The sequence below is a fragment of the Homo sapiens genome, chromosome 20 (assembly GCF_000001405.40).
Source record: "Homo sapiens chromosome 20, GRCh38.p14 Primary Assembly".
Taxonomy (NCBI): Eukaryota; Metazoa; Chordata; class Mammalia; order Primates; family Hominidae; genus Homo; species Homo sapiens.
In genome coordinates, this window is record NC_000020.11 from 35397826 (window position 1) to 35417526 (window position 19701).

Genomic DNA, 19701 nt, shown 5'->3' on the forward strand with positions numbered 1-19701 from the left:
AGATTCTAGTTTAAATTCAGCTACTCTAACATTATCTTTACAAGTAATTTAACCTCTGTGACATTCAGTTTCCTGATAGCAATTATGAGGAACACTTAATGAGCATTTGATGGCAGGCACTTTTCTGGTACTTTACATATATGAACTCATTTAAACTTCACAATCACCACTCATGTAGGTATATCATTATCCCATTTACACAAAAAAGGAAACTGAGGCATGGAGAGGATAAGCAACCTCCCAATGTCACATAGTTCTAACAGCAGGATTAAGATATGAACCCAGACAACCCAACTCTAGAATCCTTGCTCATTTATGGGATGAAAGGGTAGAGTATCTGCAAGGTACCTTCTAGCTCTAACACTATATGACCTGGTCTGGAACCAATTAAAACAGCATATTGTGGAAAGTGCCACATAACTAAAGGCAGGAAGTACTGTTCAGAAGCTACATATTAGATAATCACCTCTGTGAGCCTTGGTTGTCTCTTTTTATCAAAAATAAAGACAAAATCCCCACTTCTCAGGATTTTCTTTAAAATTAACAAATGTACCTTGCAGTATGTTCAGCACAATATTAAGTTGAATCTGAATCTCCATTTCCTCGAGTAGAAACAGGTTGAGGTGGGGTGGAGAAAGGCATTAAATTTTTAAACCTACAGATGCTTTCTAAAGTGTCTCACAGTTCTAAAATTGTATAATTGCCACTTACAGCACCTTAAATTTCAAATGAAAAGTGGAGCTAAAAATATTTTATTTGAGCTGTGGTTGGATCAGTTGAAATGGTTTTCCAAGTGAGAGACAGTTACTGGTGTTTTGTTTTACAAACACTGACAGATTTACCAGAAACATTCAATGTCAGATGTTCCTGTACTAAAAATGTTAACTATGGGATAAGAGGAAACTGCTTCAGATTCAGGGCCAAAGGTGGGGGGGGGGGGGGGGCGGTGCAGGGGGAGCAAGAGGAAATTACAAGTTGAAACAATGCAAACTTTTGGAAGATTTTCTGAAGAATTTCATCATGTAATTTCCAATGTCAACAAAACTTTTCTCTGTAATTTTGGCTCCGGTTGGTCTTAGGCCAATACTTTTAAATCAGTTCTTATTAGAAGAAAGGAACAATCAGCTGTTCTTTCCTTCGCCAATCCTACAACAATTCTTGTCCAAATCCTTAATTGAAACCACTGAAGTGTAACAGAAAGGGTAATCCCAAGTCTGCCATCAAATAGCTGTGAACTGGTTACTCAACAATCTGGGCCTCCATTTTCCCTTATGAAAAATGGGAATAATAAAAGCTATCTCACAGGAGTGTTCCCAGGAACATTCCTAAAAGCACTTTGATAACAGAAAAACACAACTAAAGGCATCACTGTTATGAACAACTGTTACCGAATTATACAAGCCCTGCTTTCCCCAGCAAACTGCCAGAGAAGCAAAAACTGTTTTCTTAAAATATTGTTTGGAATCTGGCATTTATTCCCTTTCTCAAAAGCTTGCAGTGGTTTCCAAGGACCTCTTTATTGAAACTTAAACACCTGGTCCTTACTGGTCTTTACCAACTGGACCCCTCTAAACTCATAATACTTACTGTGTTTTCCACTCAACAGTTTCAACACCTGACTCAGATTCTCTGGTTTGGGAATCACTGCTTCACTCCACACATGCTAATTTCCTTGTAGTAATTTTTTGGGACTCTCCTCTTCACTCCAACCCAAACTATAAGCTCAATTGCTTCAAGAAATCTCTCTAGGCCGGGCGCAGTGGCTCACATCTGTAATCCCAGCACTTTGGGAGACCATAGGCGGGCAGATCACCTGAGGTCAGGAGTTCGAGACCAGCCTGGCCAACATGGCAAAACCCCATCTCTACTAAAAATACAAAAATTAGCCGGGCGTGGTGGCAGGTGCCTGTAATCCCAGCTACTCGGGAGGCTGAGGCATGGAGAATCGCTTGAACTGGGGAGACAGAGATTACAGTGAGCCAAAATCAGGCCACTGCACTCCAGCCTGCGTGACAGAGCAAGACTCCACTCAAAAAAAAAAAAAAAGAAAAGAAATCTGTCTAGATGTCAGCTTCTGGTTCTACTGGCTCTACTCAGTCCTTTTTTTTTTTTTTTTTTGAGATGGAGTCTTACTCTGTCACCCAGGCTGGAGTGCAGTGGCGCAATCTCGGCTCACCGCAACCTTCACCTCCTGGATTCAAGCAATTCTCCTGCCTCAGCCTGCCGAGTAGCTGGGACTAGAGCGGCGCGCTACCACGCCCAGCTAATTTTTGTATTTTCGGTAGAGGCGGGGTTTCACCATGTTGGCCAGGCTGGTCTCAAACTCCTGATCTCAGGTGATCCACCGGCCTCGGCTTCCCAAAGTGCTGGGATTACAGGCATGAGCCACCGTGTCGACCTCTACTCGTCCTTTTTCCTTTCCACCTCTTCCACCACTTCATCTATAAATATAAATCTGTGGAAGTACTTATCTCTCTCTTAAGGTACTAATATATTAGGCCTATAACAATTAGCACATCTCAACTTCTCCCAAGTTCAAAAGACATTCATAGCCACTCCCAATGGCAAAAATTATTCCTTTAACTTAAGATAAATGCACTGTTACTAAGTGAGAACTAGTTTTATTGCCATTTTGCCTTTCCAACACTTCAAAACCAAAAAAAAAATTTTTTTCTTTTTTTTTTTTTTGAGACGGAGTCTCGCTCCGTTGCCCAGGCTGGAGTGCAGTGGTGGGATCTCAGCTCACTGCAAGCTCCGCCTCCCAGGTTCACGCCATTCTCCTGCCTCAGCCTCCCAAGTAGCTGGGACTACAGGCGCCCGCCACCTCGCCTGGCTAATTTTTTGTATTTTTAGTAGAGATGGGGTTTCACCATGTTCGCCAGGATGGTCTTGATCTCCTGACCTTGTGATCCGCCCGCCTCGGCCTCCCAAAGTGCTGGGATTACAGGTGTGAGCCACCATGCCTGGCCAAAACCAAAATTTTTAAGATAGGCTTCATGTTTTCGTTTCCCGTGCACATTGTTAATTGCAGTGATTTTTACATCAGTATTTCAAAACATTCTGACATACCACCTCTTGTACTGACTACCCTTTAATCAGTCCACTGACAGGCCTGTTTCTGCATGTGGTTTTTTAAGATACATAGTATTTTCCTTGGCTCATTCATGAGCTAGAAAACAATTTACAGGTGTAGCGGATTCTAGTTATTCACCATAAAATCACCACAAACACTGAGTTAGCAAATACTGAACCATTGCTTCTAAAGGAAATGCCAGACTTAGGTTCCTGGAAGCCTCTGGTCACAACATTCATCAACCAATCAATATATAACCTTGTTTTATTGGTTTCTGTTGAAAGACACCCTATTTAATATACATTGTTGATTCATTAACACGGAACTCACAGCCAACAGCACTATAACTCACTTAGCAAAATTTACCTAACAAACATATTTTCCCATAAGGCACATTGTGGCCTTCTCGCACTCAGCAATGCTAGATAGCGTTTCCATACTACACTTGGGTGACATTTTAAAGATGGGATTCACCAACAAAAGCACAAAAATACGAAAAATATGGCACTAAACAGGCCATGAAAAGAATACTTGTTACAGTATGAAAACTGAAACAAGAAGGCGGAATGTTGACCCATCTCAGCCAGGAACACACACATTGGCAGCTCAAATTTCTTACCCCTCTGCAAATGTCCACAAGTGACTACAAAAGTGCTGCAAGTATTGATTTTGGGGTTTCAAATAAATTTTAGCAACTAGGTGAGTTCACAAATATAGAATCTGTGAATAACGAAAATCAATTATAAACATGAAATCCACCTTTTTTTTTTTTTTTTTTTTGAGACAGAGTTTCACTCTTGTTGCCCAGACTGGAGTGCAATGACGCAATCTCAGCTCACCGCAACCTCTGCCTCCTGGGTTCAAGTGATTCTCCTGCCTCAGCCTCCCGAGCAGCTGGGATTACAGGTATGCGCCACCACGCCCAGCTAATTTTGTATTTTTAGTAGAGACGGGGTTTCTCCATGTTGGTCAGGCTGGTCTCGAACTCCCAACCTCAGGTGATCCCTCAGCCTCAGCCTCCCAAAGTGCTGGGATTACAGGCATGAGCCACCATGCCCAGCCGAAATCCACTTTATAAGTCACCACTGGTGCCTATATTCCAAATGCCATGGATACTAACTCAATTCCGGAGTCCAAAGAACAGATACTACGGTAACAAACTTTCCTTCCAGTTACAATGTGGCATGCTATAATACAAAAGGATATTTCCACAGAGGGAAGAAGAGAATGTTTAACCATTCCTTCAAAAATTACTGAATACAGGCCGGGCATAGTGGCTCACGCCTGTAATCCCAACACTTTGTGAGGCTGAGGTGGGTGGATCACTTGAGGTCAGGAGTTCGAGACCAGCCTGGCCAACACAGTGAAACCCGTCTGTACTAAAAAATACATAATATAGGCCGGGCGCGGTGGCTTACGCCTGTAATCCCAGCACTCTGGGAGGCCGAGGCAGGCAGATCACGAGGTCAGGAGATTGAAACCATCCTGGCTAACATGGTGAAACCCCGTCTCTACTAAAAATACAAAAAATTAGCCGGGTGTGGTGGTGGGCGCCTGTAGTCCCAGCTACTCGGGAGGCTGAGGCAGGAGAATGGCGTGAACCTGGGAGGCGGAGCTTGCAGTGAGCTGAGATCGCACCACTGCACTCTAGCCTGGGCGACAGAGCGAGACTCCATCTCAAAAAACAAACAAACAAACAAACAAACAAACAAACAAAATATATATATATATATAATATATATAAATTAGCCGGGCATGGTGGCGCATGCTGGTAATCCCAGCTACTCAGGAGGCTGAGGCACAAGGATCGCTTGAACCCGGGAGGCGGAGGTTGCAGTAGGCAGAGATCATGCTGCTGTACTCCAGCCTGGGTGACAGAGTGAGACCCCATCTCAAACAATAACAAAAAATTACTCCAGTACTTTGGGAGGCCGAGGCAGGCGGACTGCCTGAGCTCAGGAGTTTGCAACCAGCCTGGGCAACACAGTGAAACCCCATCTCTACTAAAATACAAAAAAATTAGCTGGGCATGAGGGCATGCACCTGCAGTCCCAGCTACTTGGGAGGCTGAGGCAGGAGAATTGCTTGAACCCGGGAGGCGGAGGTTGCAGTGACCTGAGATCGCGCCATTGCACTCCAGCCTAGGGGACAAGAGCGAGACTTCGTCTCAAAAAAAAAAAAAAAAATTACCTATACACTGCCTCCTCCCACTTTTTTGGGAGTTTTCAATCTGAGCTTTCAAAAGATTGATTACATACAGGAAAGATTTGAATAAATCAATAAATACATTAAGGGTGAGGGGTCAGGTTTCTATCAGAGAAAGGAGTTAACAAATATGGCAAGGCAAAAGAGTAGAACAAACCCTGTGGTATTAGAATAGATTAGAATAACTGGTGTGGGCTTTTAATATATAAAGAAAAAGATATATGCATGTTTATGTGTATATATAGACATATATATATTTCCTACCCACGTCCTGGTAGGGCCTGCAGATGACACTCCAGTAGCAATAAGCACATGTAGCACCCAGATGTGGTTTCTAAATAGCAACAACCACTAAAGGAACTAGTCTCCTCAGGAGACAAGTTGACTCCAGAATGGGGATGATGTTCATCAAAGCCTTACAAAGAACTGGCATTATTCCCAGACATCCCATTACTGGGTATATGCCCGAAGGATTATAAATCATGCTGCTATAAAGACACACACACACGTATGTTTACTGAGGCACTATTCACAATAGCAAAGACTTGGAACCAACCCAAATGCCCAACAATGATAGACTGGATTAAGAAAATGTGGCACATATACACCATGGAATACTATGCAGCCATAAAAAAGGATGAGTTCATATCCTTTGTAGGGACATGGATGAAGCTGGAAACCATCATTCTCAGCAAACTATCACAAGGACAGAAAACCAAACACTGCATGTTCTCACTCAGAGGTGGGAATTGAACAATGAGAACACTTGGACACAGGAAGGGGAACATCACACACCAGGGCCTGTCGTGGGGTGGGGGGAGCGGGGAGGGATAGCATTAAGAGATATACCTAGGCCGGGCGTGGTGGCTCATGCCTGTAATCCAAGCACTTTGGGAGGCCGAGGAGGGCGGATCACAAGGTCAGGAGATCGAGACCATCCTGGCTAACATGGTGAAACCCCATCTCTACTAAAAATACAAAAAATTAGCCAGGCGTGGCCGGGCGCAGTGGCTCACGCTTGTAATCCCAGCACTTTGGGAAGCCGAGGCGGGCGGATCACGAGGTCAGGAGATCGAGACCACGGTGAAATGCCGTCTCTACTAAAAATACAAAAAATTAGCCAGGCGTGGTGGCGGGTGCCTGTAGTCCCAGCTACTCGGAGAGGCTGAGGCAGGAGAATGGCGTGAACCCAGGAGGCGGAGTTTGCAGTGAGCCGAGATTGCACCACTGCACTCCAGCCTGGGTGACAGAGCGAGACTCCGTCTCAAAAAAAAAAAAAAAACAAAATTAGCCGGGCATGGTGGCAGGCGCCTGTAGTCCCAGCTACTCGGGAGGCTGAGGCAGGAGAATGGCGTGAACCCGGGAGGTGGAGCTTGCAGTGAGCTGAGATTGCGCCAGTGCACTCCAGCCTGGGTGACAAAGCAAGACTCCATCTCAAAAAAAAAAGAGATATACCTAATGTAAATGATGAGTTAATGGGTGCAGCACACCATCATGGCACATGTATACATATGTAACAAACCTGCACGTTGTGCACATGTACCCTAGAACTTAAAGTATAAAAAAAAAAGAAGCTTGACTCTGAAAAAAAAAAAAAAAAAGAACTGGCATTATTCAACCTGTCTGACAGTTCCTTAGAAGGCCCTATTTCAAGGCTGTCTTAGAACTCACCCAGTGTGAAAAAACCTTTTCCCCAGGAGCACCGGTTGAAAACAAATAGAGGTAACTGTTTGACTTCATGGCTTCCTGAGGCAGTGATTAACAGGTGGAGAAAACAACAGGCTAACCAAAAAGGTTTAAAGGAAAAGCTGGGGAATAAGATGTCCACAGAGGCTTAGAAAAGCCCCAATATATTCCTGGGCATCTAGGAAGCCATGAACATACCCAGGTCTGTGCATATACCCAAAGCTGTGCACATGCTCAGGAAAGACCTAAGAATGTCTCTTACTTGTGGTTGACCTTGAGGTTCTGCATAGCAGGAAGTGAAAGTTAAGGCAGAGTTATCGAATGCCTGGCAGAGTGTTATAGGTACATCCCAACGTGCACACAGAGCCCCAAAGCAAAAACTGGGATACTCACTGCTTCCAGGCAGTGAGAACAGAATTTTAAGAAATTTAACAGAAATTTAAAGAAATTTGTTTAATCATTACCTGACCACTAAGCTATCTAAGCAGAGACTTCAGTAGCCACAAACAACAAAGAATACAGACTACAGAATCAATTCAGAAAAGTCACTAAACAAAAATACAACAGCAAACCCTGGGAAGGGAAACAATCTGATTTCCGGAGTGGCCACATTATTTAAAATGTCCAGTTTTCAACAACAAAAAGTTATAAAACATGCAAAGAAACAATAAAGTATGGCCCATACACAGGGGGAAAAAATGCAATCAATAGAAACTGTCTCTAAGAAAACCCAGGCAGCAGACAAAGAGATTTTTAACTATTTCAAATATGTTCAAAGATCTAAATGAAAATATGTCTAAAGAACTATAAGAAAGTGGCCGGGTGCGGTGGCTTACACCTGTAATCCCAGCACTTTGGGAGGCCAAGGCAGGGGGATCACCTGAGGTCAGGAGTTTGAGACCATCCTGGCCAACATGGTGAAACCCCATCTCTACTAAAAATACAAAAATTAGCCGGGCGTGGTGGCAGGCACCTGTAATCCCAGCTACTCAGAAGGCTGAGGCGGGAGAATCGCTTGAACCCGGGAGGTGGAGGTTGCAGTGAGCCAAGATGGCACCAAAGAGAATATCAACAGAAAGAGAAGTTATTTTTTTAAAGACAAAATAAATTCTAGAATTGAAAAGTCCAACAACTAAAATGAAAAACTCATTAGAGGGACTGAACAGCAGATTTGAACAGGCAGAAGAAAATAATCAGTGGTCTTGAAGATAGGTCAATTTAGATCATCCAGTCCAAGGAACAGAAAGAAAAAGCAATAAAGACAAATTAGTAGCCTCAAAATGAAAAGCAAAAACAAAAAAAGAAAAAAAAGAACAAATTTAACAGCCTCAGACTGTGGGACACCATCAAACACACCAATATATGTATAATTAGAGTCTCAGAAGGAAAGAAAAGGACCGAAAAATATTTGAAGAAATAATGGCAGAAAACATCCCAAACATAATGGAAAATGGTAATTTAGGAATCCAAGAAGCTCTACTAACTCCAAATAGGATAAACACAAAGAGAGCCACAGACACATCATATGCAAGCTGCCAAGAGACAAAGATTCTTTAAATGAGCAAGAGAAGAAACTCATCATATACAAAGTATCCTCAAGAACATTAACAGTGGATTTCTTCTCAGAAACTGTAGCAGCCAGAAGGCAGTGGGATAAAATAGTCAAAACAAGGAAAGACAAAGATTTTCAAACAAGAATTCTATATCCAGCAAAACTATTATTCAAAAGTGAAGGAAAAAATGAAGATTTCCCAGATAAACAAAATGGAAAGAATTTGTCAGTAGTAGACTTGCCCTGCAAGAATAAGGCAGACCTTCAGGTTGAAATGAAAGGAAACTACAGAATAACTCAAATCTACATGAAGAAATAAAGTAGACTGGTAAAGGTAACTGTTTAGGTAAATAAAAAATACAGTACAAATGGATTTTTTGTTTGTAATTCTTTTTCTTTTTAATTTAAAAGACAACTACAAGAAGAAATAATTATAAATCTACATTGGTAGACATATAATGCATAAAGATGTAATTTAGATGACAATAACACAATGTTCGGGAAGGAACAGAGCTATATAGAAAGAAAGTCTTTACATATTACTGAAATGAAGTTCGTATTAATCCAAACAAGACTGTTATGAATTAAGATGTTCATTGTAATCCCAGGGCAGCCACTAAGAAAACAGCTCATAAAATATAGTAAAAGCTTGTAACATGTACACAAATTAGCTCAAAATGGATAAAAGACCAAAATGTAGGACCTAAAATGATACAACTTTCAAAAGAAAACTTACGGGAATGGCTTCATGACATTGGATTTTGCAATGATTTCTTGGACATGATATCAAAAAAGTAGGCAATAGGCCAGGCATGGTGGCTCACACCTGTAACCCCAGCACTCTGGGAGGCTGAGGTGGGCGGATCACTTGAGGCCAGGAGTTTGAGACCAGCCTGGCCAACATGGGAAAACCCCCTCTCTATTAAAAACATAAAAATTAGCCAGGTGTGCTGGTGCATGACTGTAATCCCAGCTACTTGGGAGGGTGAGGCAGGAGAATTGCTTGAACCTGGGAGGCAGGGGCTGCAGTGAGTCTAGATTGTGCCACTGCACTCTAGCCTGGGTGACAGTGCAAGACCCTGTCAAAAAAAAAAGAGTGGGCAATAAAAGAAAAAAAAATAAGTTGGACTTCATGAAAATTTAAAACTTTTGTGTATCAAAGAATAGTATCAACAGACTGAAACAGCAACCCATAGGATAGGAAAAATACATGCAAATCATATATCTGATGAGGGATTGATATTCAAAATATATGAAAAACTTGCCAGATGCAGTGGCTCATGCCTGTAATCCTTGCACTTCGGGAGGCCAAGGCGGGTGGATCACCTGAGGTCAGGAGTTCAAGACCCGCCTGGCCAACATAGCAAAACCCCATCTCTACTAAAAATACAAAATTTAAGGCTGGGCGTGGTGGCTCACGCCTGTAATCCCAGGATTTTGGGAGGCCGAGGCAGGCGGATCACCTGAGGTTGGGAGTTTGAGACCATCCTGACCAACATGGGGAAACCCCATCTCTACTAAAAATACAAAATTAGCCAGGTGTGGTGGTGCAGGTCTCTAATCCCAGCTACTTGGGAGGCTGAGGCGGGAGAATCACTTGAACTCAGGAGGCAGAGGTTGCGGTGAGCCGAGATCATGCCATTGCACTCCAGCCTGGGCAACACGCGTGAAACTCTGTCTCAAAAAGAAAAAAGACATGAAGAAGTGCCCAATATCACTAGTCACTAGAGAAATGTAAATCAATAATACAATGAGACACCATTTCATACTCATTAGAATGGCAATTGTCAAAAAACAGAATATAAGGCCACGTGTGGTGGTTCACACCTGTAATCCTAACACTTCGAGAGGCTGAGGCAGGAGTATCACTTAAACTCAGGAATTTGAGACCAGCCTGGGCAACATAGCAAGAACTCCTCTCTACTAAAAATTTAAAAACTAGCTGGGTGTGTTGGCACACACCTGTAGTCCCAGCTACTCGGGAGGCTAAGATGAGAGGATTACTTGAGCCCAGAAGTGGAGGCTGCAGTAAGCTGTCATTGGGCCACTGCACTCCAGCCTGCATGACACAGCAAGACCTTGTCTCAAAAACAAACAAACAAAAACCAGAAAATAACAAGTGTTGGCAAGGATGTGGTGAAACTGGAACCCTTGTGCACTGCTAGTGAGAATGTAAAACAGTGTATCTGCTGTGGAAAACAGTAGGACAATTCCTCAACAAATTAAACAGGCTGGACATAGTGGCTCACGCCTGTAGTCCCAGCACTTTGGGAGACCGAGACAATGGATTGCTTGAGCCCAGGAGTTCAAGGCCAGCCTGGGCAACATAAGGAGACCCCATCTCTACAAAAAAGAAAAAAAAAAGTAGCCAGGCGTGGTGGCACATGCCTGTGGTCCCAGCTACTCAGGAGGCTGAAGTGGGAGGATCACTTGAGCCCAGGAGGTCAAGGCTGCAGTGAGCTATGATTGAGCCACTACACTTCAGCACGCATGACAGAGCGAGACCCTATCTCCAAAAAAAAAAAAAGAGAAAATTCTGACACATGCTACAACATGGATGAATCTTGAGGACATTACGCTAAATGAAATAAGCCAGTCACAAAAGGTCAAATACTGTATGATTCCACTTATATGAGGTACACAAAGTAGTTAAACTCACGGAGACAGAAAGTAGAATGGTGGCTGCCAGGGGCTGGGGAGAAAAGACTATAGAGAGTTATTAATAGGTTCAGAGTTTCAGTTTTATAAAATGAAAATAATTCTGTGGATAAGGGTGGTAAAGATGGCACAACAATGTAAATGCACTCAATACCACAGAACTGTACACTTAAAAAGTTTCAAAGGTGGCCAAGCACAGTGGCTCATGCCTGTAATCCCAGCACTTTGGGAGGCCAAGGCGGGCAGATCACCTGAGGTCAGGAATTCAAGATCAGCCTGGCTAAAATGGTGAAACCCCATTTCTACTAAAAATACAAAAAATTAGCTGAACGTAGTGGCACGTGCCTGTAATCCCAGCTACTCAGGAGGCTGAGGCAGGAGAATCGCTTGAACCCGGGAGGCAGAGGTTGCAGTGAGCCAAGATCACGCCATTGCACTCCAGCTTGCGCAACAAGAGCAAAACTCCGTCTCAGAAAAAAAAAAAAAAGTTTAAAAGGTAAATTTTGTTACATGTATTTTACCACAACTTTTTTTTAATTTTCTAAAGTACAGGGTGGCTTTCTGCAATTTTTACTATTTCCAAAGAAAAGCAGAAATGATCAGCAATGCCCAGGACAACTCATAAAAACCATAAGCATGTCCAGTTCCACTGATCAAATGTCCAGGCTCTCTGCTGTAGTCATTCAACAATAGCAGTGTTTTAGTTTCCTCCTCCTTCCCAAAACCATCACTGGAGAAGGGAAAATATTGGCTGACAAGACAAAAAGAGGAAAAAATAAAGCAAGACTAACAAGAATGTTTCAGGAATACTTCTTTTTTTTTTTCAGACAGAGTTTCACTCTTTCACCCAGGCTGGACTGCAGTGGCACAATCTCAGCTCACTGCAACCTCCGCCTCCTGGGTTGAAGCAATTCTCGTGTCTCAGCCTCACGAGTAGCTGGGATTACAGGCGCCCACCACCAGGCCTGGCTAATTTTTGTATTTTTAGTAGAGACAGGGTTTCACCACGTTGGCCAGGCTGGTCTTGAACTCCTGGCCTCAAGTGATCCACCTACCTCAGCCTCCCAATGTGCTGGGATTACAGGTGTGAGCCACGGCACCTGGCCAGGAATACCTCTCTGTGGTTCAGTTTTCTTATCTGTAAAATAGAGGAAATAACACGCCCTCCTTTCCAAAGGGATGTTATAAGGATTAGGTAAGTATTTTAAAGTGCTTAGCACGTAGTAAGTGCCCTATAAAATGATAGTTGTCAGGCCAGGCTCGGTGGCTCATGCCTGTTATCCCAGCACTTTGGGAGGCCGCAGGAGGCGGATCATGAGGTCAGGAGTTCGAGACCAGTCTGGCCAACATGGTGAAACTCCATCTCTACTAAAAATACAAAAGTTAGCCAGGTGTGGTGGCAGGCGCCTGTAATCCCAGCTACTTGGGAGGCTGAAGCAGGAGAACTGCTTGAACCCAGGAGGCAGAGGTTGCAGTGAGCCGAGATCACACCGCTGAACTCCACCCTGGGTGACAGAGCGAGACTCCATCTCAAAAAAAAAAAAAATACAAAAATTAGTCAGGTGTGGTGTGGTGCATGCCTGTCATCCCAGCTACTCGGGAGGCTGGCACAGGAGAATTGCTTGAACCCGGGAGCAGAAGTTGCAGTGAGCCCGAGATGGCACCACTGCACTCCAGCTTCGGCGACAGAGCAAGACTCTGCCTCAAAAAAAAAAAAAAAAAAAACAAAACCCTAAAGGGTGGCAGGGGAAGGATTAAAAAAAAAAAAAAAAAAAAAACCACTAAATTCAGAACATTCTAATTGCCATTTCCCCAGCAGTCCTCATTTCTGAATCAATTTCTGGCCTGAAATCAAACAATCACTTCACCAGGTGAATCTTTCTGGCAGTTACAGGGGCTACTCTACAAATAAATATTTACTGAACAGCAGTCGAGGGTACCTCACTCTGCTAGGCTGGCAAGGAATACAAGAAGTAAAACTGTCGTCCTTGTAAGACATATATAAAAAGATCAAAAACACAAATGTAAAATAACAATTCAGAAGTTACCTAGACACAGGAATAGACCATGTCTACTATGAAAAACAGTGTCTTTGACCCAGTTTTTGAAGACTCGCTAAAACTATACACTCTCCCATCCCTCCATGATTAAAAACTAAGCTCTGTATCCTAACGTTTTTTCTGCTGCCACTTTCTTTTCTCCTTTAATTGCTAGAGAAAAGAGTATGCTAGAAGGGTCAGGACTAAATCTCAAGAGGTGCAGTAGTTTCACACACGGGTGCTAAAGAGTCTGGTAGTCTTTCCTTACTTCATTCATTTATTCAACAAGTAATCATTTAACACCTATGATGTGCCAGACACCATGCTAGGCAAAGTGAAAACGACGGAGACAGACATGACTCCAATTCTCACGCAGCTTTCAATCTAATAATCTATATTCCACTTAACTGTACAGTTAAGAACTGACTTATTACCTATGAAAGAAACCCTGAGAATCTCAGAATCTAAAGGGACTGCAGGAGATAAATGTCCTCGTTTTTCACATAGGGTCAATGAGGCCCAAAAGTGACTTGCTTAAAGTCACTATGCATCAGTGACAGTCAGGGACTAGAACCCAGGCCTCCTGAAACTCCAATCAGTGTCCTACATGCTCCTCTCCCTGAGGGGAAGCAGGTACATGGGGGAGGGAAGGAAAAGTAAACCCCATCAAATAAAGGCCAGATGTCAGTCTTCCCCTTCTCGAAAGATGGGGGAGCTAAGGTCAAAACGGGGTAGGAAGAGGTCGGAAGCTGCCTCAGTTTCCCCACGGAAAAGCGGCCACTCAGCCTAGCTATAACACAGGCTTCCCTCCTGCGATTCCTTCCAATTCCTCCCGCCCTGCCTTGTCGAACTCCAACCCGGGACCCAGAGAGCTACCGTAGAAAATTACTCCTTCACTCACAAGGACTCGCACCAGCAACGCCATGTTCCTCAATAACCATTTCCGGGTGAAGAGTGAGTTTCCGGTGTCCCCTTTTCTACGTCCTCCTTTTGCCGGCGAAAGACTGGCAAGGGGGGCGCAGGCGCAAAGAGGTCGCTACGCGCACGCGCTGTTGTTTTCTCGGCTGTGCACCAGGCTGTCGTGCCCGGGCACGCTCTCCCTGCTGTCTCCCCCACTACACGTAACAGTGGTTCAAATCCTTCCCCCACGCCTGTCTCCTTGACCCCAGACCTCGGGGCTTCTCATATCCCTCTCTTTATTCCCCACCTAACCCAGCCTCACTCCTCAGCCCCTCCTTCCCAAACTCCACCCCAACACTTTTCAATGGAGGTTGAAAAGAACAGGACTTTAGGAAATCCCAATCTTTAGAAAGAGCCAGAAGACCGGGCGCGGTGGCTCACGCCTGTAATCCCAGCACTTTGGGAGGCCGAGGCGGGCGGATCACCTGAGATCAGGAGTTCGAGACTAGCCTGGCCAACATGGCAAAACCCCGTCCCTAACTAAAAATACAAAGAAAGTAGCCGGGCATGTTGGTGTGTGCCTGTAATCCCAGCTACTCTGAAGGCAGAGGTTGCAGTGAGCCGAGATCGCGCCACTGCACTCCAGCCTGGGCGACAGAGCAGGACTGGACTCTGTCTCAAAAAAAAAAAAAAAAAAAAAAAAAAAAAAGCCAGAGAAGGAGGCTAAGATAAAAGAATACGGGGGATACCAGACTCCTGAAAGTCAAGGCAAGAAGGCGGTCATGTGCCGATCTGAAGCCTGGTAGAGGAAGAAACTTTTGGGATTTGTGGTTGGTTGGTTGTTTAAGGGAAACATCTTTGCATATTGATAGGAAAAGATTAGTGAAGAGTATACAGGGCCGTGCCCGGTGGCTCATGCCTGTAATCCCAACACTTTGGGAGGCCGAGGCAGGTGGATTGCCTGAGGTCAGGAGTTCAAGACCAGCCTGACCAATATGGTGAAACCCCGTCTCTACTGAAAATACGAAAAAAATTAGCCGGGCATGGTGGCGTGTGCCTGTAATCCCAGCTACTTGGGAGGCTGAGGCAGGGAATCGCTTGAACCCGGGAGGCAGAGGTTGCAGTGAGCTGAGACTGGGGCACTGAACTCCAGCCTGGGTGACAAAGCGAGACTCCGTCTCAAAAAAAAAAAAAAAAAAAGAGTATACAGGAGAATCAATCAAAGAGGCAAGGAGCTTCTTGAGGAAAGTGGCAGAGAACGGCCTTGGTAGAAGACTCCTCTTCCATTACATCCCAAGAGAAGAGAAGACAAAGTACTGGTGCTTTGGGGGTTGAGGGAGCAGAGGGGCAGGATGTTGAAGGACTTCTTTCATTTCATTCAGTCAACAAAGACCTATTGAGTCTTCCCTATGTGCTGAACACAAGACATACTGGCTTCATGGAGTTCTTAGACTGGTGGGGGAGGCATAGGAACCCAGTGAAAAAAATTAAAACTGGGGAGCTACTTTGGTTAGGTTGGTAAGGCCTCTCCAAGAAAGTGACATGTAAGATGAAATCTAAAGGAAGAAGAGGAGCTAGTCATGGGAAATAACTTCACTCGACTATTTTTTTAATTAAATTTATTGATTTTTATTAATTGACAAAAAATATATATTGTGTACAACAGGATGTTTTCTTTTTTCTTTTTTTTTTTTTTTTTGAGACAGAGTTTCACTCTTGTCGCCCAGGCTGGAGTGCAGTGGCTCAATCTCGGCTCACTGCAACCTCCACCTCCCAAGTCAAGCGATTCTCCTGCCTCAGACTCCCAAGTAGCTGGGATTACAGATGCGCACCACCACGCCTGGCTAATTTTTGTGTTTTCAGTAGAGACGGGGTTTTGCCATTTCGGCTAGGACGGTCTCAAACTCCTAACCTCAGGTGATCCACCCACATCGGCCTCCGAAAGTGCTGGGATTACAAGAGTGAGCCACCGTGCCCCCGGCCAGGATGTTTTAAAATATGTATACATTGTGAAATGGCTAAGTCAAGCTAATTAATATATGCATTACCTCATATTTTTGTGCTGGAAATGTTTAAAATATGTTCTTTAAGCAATTTTCAAGAATACAATACATATTCATAGTGGGTATAGTCACCATGTTATACAATAGATCTTTTCTTTTTTTTTTTGAGACGGAGTTTCACTCTTGTTGCCCAGGCTGGAGCGCAATGGCGTGATCTTGGCTCACTGCAACCTCTGCCTCCCGGGTTCAAGTGATTCTCCTGCCTCAGCCTCCTGAGTAGCTGGGATTACAGGCATGCGCCACCACGCCCAGCTAATATTATATTTTAGTAGAGACGGGGTTTCTCCATGTTGGTCAGGCTGGTCTCGAACTCCCGACCTCAGGTGATCCGCCTGCCTTGGCCTCCCAAAGTGGCCTCCTGAACTTATCTCTCTTAACTGAAATTTTGTATCCTTTGACAAACATCTCCTCAGCCTCTAGTAACCACCATTCTACTCTCTACTTCTGTGTGTTCAACTTATATTCCACATATGAGAGAAATCAAGCAGTGTTTGTCTTTCTGTGCCTCATTTATTTCTCTTAACATAACATCCTCCCAGTTCATCCATGTTGTCATAGATATGAGCATTTCCTTCTTTTTTTTTTCCTTGAGACAGAGTCTTGCTCTTGTTGCCCAGGCTGGAGTGCAGTGGCACAATCTTGGCTCACTGCAACCTCTCCCTCCCGGGTTCAAGCAATTCTCCTGCCTCAGCCTCCCAAGTAGCCTGGACTACAGGCATGTGCCACCACACCCAGCTAATTTTTATTTTTAGTAGAGATGGGGTTTCTCCATGTTGGTCAGGCTGGTCTTGAGCTCCCGACCTCAGGTGATCTGCCCACCTTGGCTTCCCAAAGTGTTGGGATTACAGGTGTGAGCCACCGCACCTGGCCAGCATTTCCTTCTTCTTTTAGGCTGAATAGCATTCCATTATATATATAAATCACTTTTTTTTTTTTTTGAGACAGAGTCTTGCTCTGCCGCCCAGGGTGGAGTGCAGTGACACAATCCCAGCTCACTGCAGCCTGTACCTCCTGGGTTCAAGCAATTCTTGTGCCTCAGTCTCCCAAGTAGCTGGGACTACAGGCACGTGCCACCATGTCCGGCTAATTTTTGTATTTTTAGTAGAGACAGGGTTTCACCATGCTGGCCAGGCTGGTCTCGAACTCCTGGCCTCAAGTCATCTGCCCACCTCTGCCTCCCAAAGTACTGGGATTACAGGCATGAGTCACTGTACCTGGTCATAAACCACATTTTCTTTCTTTCTTTCTTTCTTTTTTCTTTTTTTTTTTTTTTTTTTTTGAGACGGAGTCTCACTCTGCCACCAGGCTAGAGTGCAGTGATGCAATCTCAGCTCACTGCAACCTCCCCCTCCCAGGTTCAAGCGATTCTCCTGCCTCAGCCTCCTGAGTAGCAGGGATTACAGGCGTGCACCACTACACCCAGCTAATTTTTGTATTTTTAGTAGAGACGGGTTTCACCATGTTGGTCAGGATGGTCTCGGTCTCCTGACCTCATGATCTGCCCACCTCGGCCTCCCAAAGTGCTGGAATTACAGGCGTGAACAACCACGCCCAGCCACCACATTTTCTTTATTTGTTCATCACTAATGGACACTTAGGTTAATTCCATACTTGGCTGTTGTGAATACCACTGCAATGAACATGTTAGTATAGATGCCTCTTCAACATACTGATTTCATCTCCTTTGAATATATATCCAATAGTGAGACTGCTGTATCCTATGGTGGTTCTGTTTTTAATTGTTTGAGGAACCTCCATACTGTTTTCTATAATGGGTGTACTAATTTACATTCCACCAACAGTGTGCAAGGGTTCCCTTTCTCCACGTCCTTAGGAACAATGTTATAGTAGCCATTCGAACAGGTGCAAGGTAATATCTCATTGTGGCTTTAGATTGCATTTCCCTGATGATTAATGATGCTGAGCATTTTTTCATATACTTGTTGGCCATTTGTATGTCTTCTTTTGAGAAATGTCTATTCAGATCTTTTGCCCATTTTAAAATTTGGGTATTAACCCCTCATCAGATATATGGTTTTTAAATGTTTTCTCCCATTCCATACGTTGTCTCTTCACTCCGTTGATTGTTTCCTTTGCTGTGCAAAAGTTTCTTAGTTTCATATAACACTATTTCTCTATTTTCACTCTTTTTGCCTGTACTTTTGGGGTCATATTAAAAAAATTATTGCCCAGACCCAGGTCATGCAGCTTTTCCTCTATATTTTCTTCTTCTAGTAATTTTAGTTTGAGGTCTTGTGTTTAAGGCTTAAATCTATTTGGAATTGATTTTTATTTGAGACAGGGTCTTGCTCTGTCACCCAGGCTGGAGTGCAGTGGTGCAATCAAGGCTCACTGTAGCCTCAAAGTCCTGGGCTTAAGTGATCCTCCCTCCTCAGCCTCTTGAATAGCTGGGTCCGTAGGCATGTGCCACCATGCCTAGCTAATTTTTTTATTTTTAGTAGAGATGGGGTACGGGGGTCTCTCTATGTTTCCCAGGCTGGTCTCAATCTTCTGGGCTTGAGCAATCCTCTCATCTCAGCCTCTCAAAGTGCTAGGATTAAAGGTGTGAGCCATAACACCCGACCTTCGATTTTTGTATATGGTATGAGGTGAGAGTCTAATTTCATTCTGCATGTGGATATCTAGTTGTCCCTACACCATTTATTAAAAAGACTGCCCTTTACCCATTGTGTGTTCTTTGCACCGTTGTTGAAAATCAATTGACTGTAAATGCATAGGTTTATTTTGGGTCTCTATTCTGTTCTATTGGTCTATGTGTCTGTACAAATGCTATTCTATCAGCAAATGTTGGGAAGTGGGAGAGGGACAGAAGATTTCAGAACAAGAGTCTTGAGGTGGGGAAAAAAAACAGTACATTTTAAGGCCGGGTGCAGTGGTTCATGCCTGTAATCCCAACACTTTTGGGAGGCCGAGGCAGGTGGATCACCTGAGACCAGGAGTTCGAGACCAGCCTAGGCAACATGGCTAAACTCTGTCTCTACAAAAAAATACAAAAAATTAGCCGGGTATGGTCGGGGGTCGCTCTGTCGCCCAGGCTCGAGTGCAGTGGCGCAATCTCAGCTCACTGCAACCTCTGCCTCCCGGATTCAAGTGATTCTTCTGCCTCAGCCTCCCGAATAGCTGGGACTACAGCTGTGCATCACCATGCCCGGCTAATTTTTGCATTTTTAGTAGAGACAGGATTTCACCATATTGGCCAGGCTGTTCTTGAACTCCTGACCTCGTGATCCGCCCGCCTTGGCCTCCCAAAGTGCTGGGATTACAGGCGTGAGCCACCGCATCTGGCCAGAGGAATTATATTTTAAGAGACAGGATCTCTCTATGTTGCCCAACCTGATCATGAACTCCTGGGCTCAAGGGATCCTCCTGCCTCAGCCTCCTGAGTAACCGGGACTACATGTGAGAGCCACCGTATGCAGCCATTGGAGGATATTAAGTAGGGAGGGCTACCTAATTCATATTTAAGAAGTTGACTTTGGGCCATGTACGGTGGCTCACACCTGT

The 19701-nt window shown here is 44.2% G+C and overlaps 1 protein-coding gene across 8 annotated transcripts in view, besides 6 other annotated features; it reads right to left on the reverse strand.

The window, feature by feature from the left end:
• UQCC1 (ubiquinol-cytochrome c reductase complex assembly factor 1) overlaps nucleotides 1-14148 on the reverse strand; it is a 109396-nt gene extending 95248 nt beyond the window's left edge. For 5 of the 8 annotated variants that reach the window (NM_001184977.2, XM_011528878.3, NM_199487.3 and 2 more), the window contains exon 1: nucleotides 14115-14148. In NM_001184977.2, the coding sequence (NP_001171906.1) occupies nucleotides 14115-14138 (24 nt within the window). In that variant the 5' untranslated portion in view covers nucleotides 14139-14148. Of the gene's footprint in view, nucleotides 1-12229; nucleotides 12468-14089 lie in introns of those variants that run through there. The other 3 variants (XM_011528879.2, XM_011528881.4, XM_011528880.3) reach the window with 3 other exon arrangements.
• Nucleotides 7347-7506: an enhancer, noted in NCBI's record as "active region_17779". NCBI's record gives its function as "activates an Ori minimal core promoter by ATAC-STARR-seq in GM12878 lymphoblastoid cells {active_cell/tissue: GM12878}" and the evidence as "EXISTENCE:reporter gene assay evidence [ECO:0000049][PMID:35858748]".
• Nucleotides 13480-14303: an enhancer, noted in NCBI's record as "H3K27ac-H3K4me1 hESC enhancer chr20:33999108-33999931 (GRCh37/hg19 assembly coordinates)". NCBI's record gives its function as "activates a minimal SCP1, AML or CMV promoter by ChIP-STARR-seq in naive H9 embryonic stem cells {active_cell/tissue: H9 hESC(naive)}" and the evidence as "EXISTENCE:reporter gene assay evidence [ECO:0000049][PMID:30033119]".
• Nucleotides 13894-13993: an enhancer, noted in NCBI's record as "active region_17780". NCBI's record gives its function as "activates an Ori minimal core promoter by ATAC-STARR-seq in GM12878 lymphoblastoid cells {active_cell/tissue: GM12878}" and the evidence as "EXISTENCE:reporter gene assay evidence [ECO:0000049][PMID:35858748]".
• Nucleotides 14054-14203: an enhancer, noted in NCBI's record as "active region_17781". NCBI's record gives its function as "activates an Ori minimal core promoter by ATAC-STARR-seq in GM12878 lymphoblastoid cells {active_cell/tissue: GM12878}" and the evidence as "EXISTENCE:reporter gene assay evidence [ECO:0000049][PMID:35858748]".
• Nucleotides 14304-15126: an enhancer, noted in NCBI's record as "H3K27ac-H3K4me1 hESC enhancer chr20:33999932-34000754 (GRCh37/hg19 assembly coordinates)". NCBI's record gives its function as "activates a minimal SCP1, AML or CMV promoter by ChIP-STARR-seq in naive H9 embryonic stem cells {active_cell/tissue: H9 hESC(naive)}" and the evidence as "EXISTENCE:reporter gene assay evidence [ECO:0000049][PMID:30033119]".
• Nucleotides 14334-14383: an enhancer, noted in NCBI's record as "active region_17782". NCBI's record gives its function as "activates an Ori minimal core promoter by ATAC-STARR-seq in GM12878 lymphoblastoid cells {active_cell/tissue: GM12878}" and the evidence as "EXISTENCE:reporter gene assay evidence [ECO:0000049][PMID:35858748]".